Raw genomic sequence first — 8,495 nt, 5'->3', positions numbered from 1 at the left:
CTCATTCTACTAGGAAGAGGAGAACATGCTTATCACCAGGGATGGGGAGTCAATGCCAAGATGAGTCTGTACAAACCTTATTAAAATTGCCCTTCTCTTCCATCAGTTTCCCCGATATGTTTCCTAGTCACTTTCCCATCCCCCTTCCAGCCCAAACCCCTTTTTCCTTTGTCATGTCTCCACAATGTATTGTTCTTTGTTAAAATGGTATATAATTCTCAAATCTAACTGCTTTAGAGTTTTCACTTTTTTCTGTGAAGTCCTCCATGCCACATAGAAATATTAACATCAGATAAAAATCTATATTTTTTCCTATTAATATTTTTTCCCTGTTAATCTGTCCGCAAAGGTTATTTAGGCCTGCAGAGCATCCAAGTGAGGCTATCTAGTGGACAGTTGAAAGTGTGGGTCTGATGCTACAAATAGAAGCCTAACGTGGAGATGTGTTTGGACATCACAAATATCTAGATGGAGTAGGTGAATTATGAACTCTCCCAAGGAAAGGCCAGGAGTAAGAAGAGAAGAAAATCTAGGTAAGGACTCAGGAACCCTAATATTTACAGACAAGCAGAAGAAAAGAGCCGACAAATATTGTTTAAAAGTGGCTAGTTATATAGGAGAAATGCCAGAGAATAAAAAAGGAAGAAGGTAATCAGTGTGTATCAAACCACTACATCAGTAAGTGCTACTGACCCAAGTCCTAAATCATCTTGAAGCCATCTCTGCTGGTACCATCTTAGGATGTATCACCATCATTCTTGCCTGAAGTCCTGCAACAGCCTTCTAATTGGTCTCCACATTTCTGCTCCTGCCCCCTTGGACACATTTTCTACACAACTTCCAAATGGATCTTTGCTTTAAAATTCTTATTTTGCACTTAGACTAAAATTCAAACTCCATTTTATGACCTGCAAGGCGTTGTGTGATTTGGCCCCTTCTGACTACTTCTTTCTTTCCAATCTCTCCCTTAATACCCTTCTGCCACAGTGGACTTTGAACACACACAGCCCTTTTTTGCCCTAGAGCCCTTGCACTAGCTGTTTTGTCTGCCTAAAACCCTTTTCACTTCCTTTTCAAATGGCCAGGTTTTCTCATCCTACAGATCCTAACTACCTCCTCTTCAAAGAGGCCTTCAATGGCCCCTCTAGCTAAAATAGAGTCAGCCTCCCCTATAGTTCTCCATCATACCATTATATTTTTGCTTTTTTCATAATACAAACCACTGTATAATTATTTTCCTTTTTCTCTCAGATCCCCAGGTAGCCATGGTCTTGGGGAAAACTGTGTCCTCCGGAGTGATCAGAGCCCAGTGCTGGACATCATGGAATGTAATTTTTTAACTTATTCATTTCCTCTTTTTTTTTTTTTTTTTTTTTTTTGTCTCTCACACAAGACTGTAAGTTTGATAAGGAGGAGCCCCATACCTGCTTTGTTCTCCATTGTATGCCCAGCACCTAGCTCAGGGATCTATCATTTAAGAATGCATGAAACTGTAACAGAAAACCAACAGTAGCTTAAGCCAAGAAGGTTTTCTTTTCCCACATAGCAAGAAATCCAGAGACAGGTTCAGTACTCAATGCTGATGTCTCTGCACTTGCCTTTCTCTCTCCCTCAGGGCTGCAAGATGGCTGATGCAGCTCCTGCCATCTCATCCATGTTTAAGGCAGGAAATTAGGGAGATGAGGACAGGCTGTATCAGTTGCATCTGTCCCATTTTATGAAGAAACAGAAGCTTTCCCAAAAGTTTCCCCATCAGAGTTCTACTTTTATCTCATGGGCCAAAACTAACATACAGGGCCATCCATAGCTGCAAGAGAGAGTGTGTGTTGGGTTTTGTAGCCTCTATAGTGAGGAGCAGCAAGGAAGAAGAATATTTAGAATGGCTCTGAGGTAGCTGATCAACAGTGTCTTTTGCAAGGAGACTATGTAAAGATGCGTATACCTGAGGTCAAGAGTTTGGGAAGATGGGAAACAGCTGGAGAGATGGGTTGAGGCCAGATTGCAGAGGATCATAGTCTTCAATTCTATATTCTCACTTCTTTTTTTTTTTTTTTTTTTTTTTTTTTTCTTTTCTTGAGAGAATCTCACTGTGTTACCCAGGCTGGAGTGCAGTGGCGTGATCTCAGCTCACTGCAGCCTCTGTCTCCTGGGTTCAAGTGATTCTCCTGCCTCTGCCTCCTAAGTAGCTGGGATTACAGGTATGTGCCACCATGGCCAGCTAATTTTTGTATTTTTAGTAGAGACGGGGGTTTCACCATGTTGGCCAGGCTGGTCTCGAACTCCTGGCCTCAAGTGATCCACCCGCCTCAGCCTCCCAAAGTGCTGGAATTACAGGCATGAGCCACCACACCCGGCCTATTCTCACTTCTGAACCAAGCATATGAGCTAGTGCTCAGGAGCAGTAGCGGCCTCCCCTCATGATGTCTCCTGCTTCCCCCATCTCTCCTCTCTCCCACTTTGAAAACCCAAAACAGTGGAGCATGGTCAAGATGAGGAAGGGAGGAAGCATCTTCAGTCCCCTACCCACAGCGAAGCCATAGCAAGTGACTGGATGATAGTGATAGAGTGAATTAAGAGAAAAAGGGATTAGGAGCTAGGAAAATGAAGGAAGTTTATCCTTGTTCTGGACTTAAGAATGAAAAACAGAACCAATGAGACTAGGATTTCTAATTGTCCATCTGTGGATTAGTAAAGCAATCTTTTTTCCTGATTCCCAGTCATCCTCTTGTCAGTATCTTTCCCAAAATACACTGATGGAAAAACCCTCTGGCCCCATCTCACTCCTCTCTAGGGCCTGGATTAGAGCATACAGCTAATATTTTAGATTGTAAATTGGAAAGCAGTAACCAGGAGAATACAGATATTAATAAAATCTAAACTGTACTCTAGGTTTAATGCTCAGGACCACAGCCTTAAGGCTGCTGCCTCGGCCAGGCGCGTTGGCTCACACCTGTAATCCCAGCACTTTGTGGGGCAGAGGCGGGTGGATTGCTTGCGGTCAGGACTTCAAGAGTCACCTGGCCAACATGGTGAAATGCTGTCTCTACTAAAAATACAAACATTAGCCAAGTGTGGTGGCATGTGCCTGTAGTCCCAGCTACTCAGGAGTCTGAGGCACAAGAATCATTTGAACTCAGGAGGTGGAGGTTGCAGTAAGCCAAGATCGCACCACTGCACTCCAGCCTGGGTGACAAAGCGAGACTGTCTCAAAAAAAATAAATAATAAATAAATAAATAAATAAAGCTGCTGCCTCTGCAGATTAGCATATATAAGGATGTTTTCCCTCCTCCAGAAGCCATCTTCCCGAGGCATGAATATTCCTTGTATGTTTTGTGAGCCTCACCCAGTAAAATTTGTTCTGGATGTCCCACAGCACAACACCACATTCTCATGCTCATGTGAGTGTTTAAGGGCCCTGGGTGACTGTATATAAATACAGTGGAAGGCCTGGCTGAGCTCAGGGAGTTAGTTGGTCATCACTTGTTTAAGAAAGACCTCCTTAATTACATTTGGCTTCTCCACTCCTGAGTAATGTTACTTTGATCTTGAGCACAGTAATTAAAGTTTCATAGCATGCCGCATTGGTGGGTATATAGTTGATTGAATGCCATGGATCTTGCCTTTGAATTTATATTTCTAACTAGCTCTAGCCTTTTTCCTTAGAAGTAATTTTGTTTCTATAGCAACATTATTCTAGAGGAATTGGGGACAGACCCAAACAATATCCGCAAATTCAGAATCAAGAATCAAACCATGTAAGGTGGAAATGCCAGAATGGGCTGAAGGTATGGCAAAAATTTGTGTAGGCAATGAAGAGCTATTGCATAATCAAACTTCGGGTAAAAAGACCTCCTCTCTCCTTGGCAATGAATTAATTAGACCCTCATCAAAAAGTCTTTTTTTTTTTTTTTTTTTTTGAGATGGAGTCTCACTGAGTCGCCCAGGCTGGAGTGCAGTGGTGCGATCTCGGTTCACTGCAACCTCCACCTCGTCGGTTCAAACAATTCTCCTGCCTCAGCCTCCCGAGTAGCTGGGACTACAGGCGTGCACCACCACACCCAGCTAATTTTTTTGTATTTTTAGTAGAGATGGGGTTTCACTATGTTGGCCAGGCTGGTCTTGAGCTCCTGACCTCAAGTGATCTGCCCACCTCGGCCTCCCAAAGTGCTGGGATTACAGGCATGAGCCACCACGCCCAGCCAAAAAAGTCGTTTCAAGAGTGGGCTCAAACCCCAGCCTCTTCTCATATCCTGCCTCTTGCTCCCTTTTGGGTTCCTTACCCTCCAGCAGCACTGGAATTATTGCTGGTTCCCCTGGCAGCCTCCCCACCGCCCCTCCTTCATGCCTTCACTCACACTGCTCCCATACCTACAATCCCCAATCCCTTTAGAGTCCAGCTCAAACGTCTTTGAATTCTTCCTTGGTCTCTTCAGGAACACTCCTTTTTCTCTATGATTTATAATCCCCACCCCACACCCATAGCATAAAGGATGTGTGCACCATAGATGCTCAGTTGTATTAATGTAGATTGGCTGGAATTTTAAAAAAATAAGAGCTACTGATAGCTAATATTCATTGAGCATTCACCACGTCCCAGGAACTGTGCAAACTTGTTACATGGACTACCTTATGTATTCTACACAGCCCTATGAGGTGTTCACTAGCACTGTCATCTCTACCCCATGTACAGATGAACTGGGGCAGCTTTGGGAGGCTCATTAGCATGCTCCAGGCTACGCAGATGATCCGTGACAGAGTCAGAATTTGAGCCCATGCTCTTATCTGCTCTGCAGTACAACACTAAATGCTTAGTTCAATGGCTGGTTTCCCTGGCTGGCAAGAAAGGAAATAAGACAGGGTGTGAATCTACCAGTGAGTATGCTGGGTGGGTGTTCCCTCATCCCTGTATAATTTACTCCGTGGCTCAGCCAGAGTGGCAGTGAGATAATCCCTGTGTCCCTAGGGTATGTGCCACTGCCTGGAATTTAGATGAACAAACTCCATGAGATCAAAACTCCAGAAGCAGCATAGATACCCAGCAGCAACCTATTTGCCGCTTGTCAAATTAGCAGCCCTTGTTTTCTCTCATATAGTAAAACTCAGCTAAAAGAAATTCTTATGCCACCAATACAAACACAAGACTATTGCCCCTTCTTACATAATGTCTATGACATACTTCTGAATATATAATGTATGTTTGTGATCCTGTTGTCTCTGCTTACTTTTTAGAGCCCTTTCTTAGGGGCTAGCAGATTGTGGATTCACACCAGGGTGTCTGCCGGTGTGAGCAGAATGTGTCTTATGAGGGGGGCCCTAAACTGGAGGCAGAGCCCAGCAAAGCCTCAACCATTCTAAGAATCAAAAGGAAGCTTCAGCACTTGGATGTATCTGCAAAGGCTCCACGGAGGAAGTGGACTTACGAGAGTTGATTTAATTATTAGGAGAAGAGGCTTCTCGGTCATTGGGGAACACTACCCTTGCCTCCTTCCCTCTCTCAGAGGATGAGGTGTCCCACCTTCCATCCAAAGCTCATTGTGTCGTCTGTGCTGGGGGCCAGGTCTCTCACTTGCTCAGGAATTTCATTCTACCATCTACTCTGTCCTTGTTATTTCAGTCTCTCCCTGGTCTCTGCCTCCTCCTTCTCAACACAAATTCATGCTCACATCTCTTTAATTAGAACAACAAAAAACATCTTCCTTCAATCTAATCTTGCTTTCCAGGTACATCTCAGCTCTCTCATTACCTCTATAAATTGTCTTACAAATGACTTTACACAGAGTGTTTACATCCTTCCCCCTCATTTCCTCCACTCATTGACATTTACTTTCTCTGAAACTGATCATCATGAAGTCCAGAATAGTTGGCCTTTATCAGGCTGAACAGCTTCTCTGTACTGTTCAATACTGAGACCTCTCCTTCTCCCTGGTATTCTTCCTCTGGTACCTGTGACCTGCCATTCTCCAGGTGCACCTGCCTCAGACTACCTCCCCACTTCTTTCATAAGCGCATCTCTCCATGCCCAGCCCTAAATGTTGGTGTCCCCAGGACAGGGTTCTCTACCCTCTACTGGCTGCATCATGTCATTGTGCCCACTCCCAACAGCAGGTCATCCATGACCATGAAAATCGTGCACATGGGTTCTGTGACCATCCATGACCTATTGACTCCTATTTATTTACAGCCCATCTCTCTTCTTAATTTTTTTCTTCATCTCATCTCCTTTCAAAATGTCACCCTCAGGTATGCGGAAATAAGAAATGGGTTCACTGCTGAGACATACACTGAACAATTCCTCATTGATACAAAAACGTAACAAAAATTCTGGGTTTTTTTCAGACGGAGTCTCACTCTGTCACGCAGGCCAGAGTGCAGTGGTGCAATCTAGGCTCACTGCAACCTCCGCCTCCTGGGTTCAAGTTAATCTCATGATTCTCGTGTCTCAGCCTCCCGAGTAGCTGGGATTACAGGCACGTGTGCCACCATACCTGGCTAATTTTTGTATTTTTAGTAGAGACGCGGCTTTACCGTGTTGGCCAGGCTGGTCTCGAACTCCTGGCATCAAGCAATCTGCCCGATTAGGCCCCCAAAATGCTGGGATTACAGGCGTCAGCCATTGCTCCTGACCTAAAATAAACATAACAAAAGTTGTAAAAGTGCCATTTGTAAGGGCTTCTAAGGAATGGATAAGATCCACCCTCTTTTTGGGGTCTTTTTCTAGTAGGAAGAGAGATAGGGTCAGGGAAATATTAATTTCTTCTTCAAGTTACACATACTTCACAGTGCATAAATCTCAACTGTTTAATTTACCAGCCCCAATTAGACGTGGTTTTCTTGAGTGCTGATATTTAGTATTATTTATTTTTGTAGCCTCAGTTCCCAGCTGTGTACCAGTATATAGTGAAAGCTTGGTGTATGATTGTGGGATGGATAAATGAATGAATGTGTTTCCCAATTCATGAAATTGCTGAAAGAAAGGTGAGGAATGAGGATGGAGAGGGGTGTCCTGACTGTGGCACCAGCCTGGTACCTGCTTAGGATGCCAACAGGAAGTTGGCACATGAAGAAAAGTACAAAAATGCAGAAATAAATCCAGATGTTCAAGATGCATATATCCAGTGACCTACTTGACATATTCATACAAGGAATTTGCAGATACCTCAAACAGCACGTCCAAAACTGAACTCTCACTGCACACTTTTCCACCCTCCTTTTCATGCCTCCATCTTCCCCATATCTCTAAATAACACTACCATTCAACTACGTGCTCAGATCAAAACACAAAATCACCCTGAATAGACAGACATCTTCCTTGTTAGCTGGACGGCCCTCAGGCATCATCTTTCTCCCCTATGTGACTATCATCTGAGCTCAGAATATTCCTCTGGGCAACAGTGTCATCCCCCTCCTTGGGAACCTCACATTTGCACTTGATCAGGCAGCCAGCTGTTTCCTGTCTCCCCCTAACTTCTCTTACGTAAAGTGGAGGGATGGGTGGGAAAGAGTGGGGATGTCTCCTGGAGCACAAACCTACAGTGCCTCTAGCCCTGCCTGGCCAGGAGTGAGAACTTGGAAGGCCACATGCATTTTGCTGACCCCTGCCTATAATTCCTCCCTATTAACCAGGCTTTGGCCTGCACCTCGTTGTTTGTGGTGTTTGGCCCACCCTCTGGCTTAACACATTCATGATTCCCTCTCATGTTCATTCATTTCACATGTATTGAACCTCTCCTGTATGCCAAGCACTGTCCTAGGCAATTCCGTTTATAAGCGAACAAAACAAAGATCCTTACCCTTGTAGAGTAGGGTATATAGATAACAAATAATAGACATGTAAATTTTAATAGTATATTATATTATATCTTACAAAGTAGTAAGTGCAATGGCAAAATTTAAAAGTAGACCAAAGAGAATGGGCAGTGTTTGGGAGGTCAGTATGGAGGCGGTGGTGTGCAGTTCCTGCTGATGTGGCCAGGGAAGCCCTCCTGGAGAAGAAAGACTTGAAAATAGTGAGGGGTTGGCCAGACGCAACCTGAGGGAAGCCCATCCTAGGTGGCGCAAAGGCTGTCGGACAGGGCGGGCCTGTGTGGTCAAGGAACTTAGAGGTCGGAGGGGCTGAAACAGAGAGCCCAGGGGAAGCACAGAGAGGTGACAGGAGTGGGCAGGTCTGGTAAAGACCTAGAAGTCACTTCAGAGGCTTTGCCTTTTCTTCTGTATAAAATAGAGAAGGCCATTGTAGGATTTCAAGCAGAGCAGTGACAAAATCAAACCCACTGTTGCAAGAATCCCTCTGGCTGCTCTTTTGATCATATACTATAAAGGGGTCGGGGTTGGGGCTGGGGGATGAGGTCAGAAGCAGACGGCCGGTTAGGAGTTTCCTGCAGTCAAGCAGAGAAGAGATGATGGTCACTTGGACTTGGATGGTGTCACTGAAGTAGTGAGAAGTGGTCAGAGTCCGTGGTATTTTGAAGGTAGACCCAAAAGGATTTCCTGGTGG

At 44.5% G+C, this 8,495-nt stretch overlaps 1 long non-coding RNA gene and 1 other non-coding gene across 7 annotated transcripts in view; both read right to left on the bottom strand.

The window, feature by feature from the left end:
* Nucleotides 1-8,495, bottom strand: part of GPRC5D-AS1 (GPRC5D and HEBP1 antisense RNA 1) — a 94,773-nt gene that overhangs the window by 49,115 nt on the left and 37,163 nt on the right. Inside the window, exon 2 of one of the 6 annotated variants that reach the window (NR_149063.1) lies at nucleotides 6,487-6,625. The exons of the other annotated variants lie outside the window; for them this stretch is intronic. This is a non-coding gene — a long non-coding RNA (GPRC5D and HEBP1 antisense RNA 1). The remainder of the gene's footprint in view (nucleotides 1-6,486; nucleotides 6,626-8,495) is intronic. 6 annotated transcript variants of the gene reach the window in all.
* LOC124903100 (small nucleolar RNA SNORD88) lies at nucleotides 1,241-1,331 on the bottom strand. Its single transcript, XR_007063637.1, has one exon. It is a non-coding gene; the product is annotated as a small nucleolar RNA SNORD88 (small nucleolar RNA).

This window comes from Homo sapiens, chromosome 12, assembly GCF_000001405.40.
Source record: "Homo sapiens chromosome 12, GRCh38.p14 Primary Assembly".
NCBI classification, from domain to species: Eukaryota; Metazoa; Chordata; class Mammalia; order Primates; family Hominidae; genus Homo; species Homo sapiens.
The sequence above is the reverse complement of the archived record's forward strand: the minus strand, read 5'-3'. Positions and strand labels throughout refer to the sequence as shown.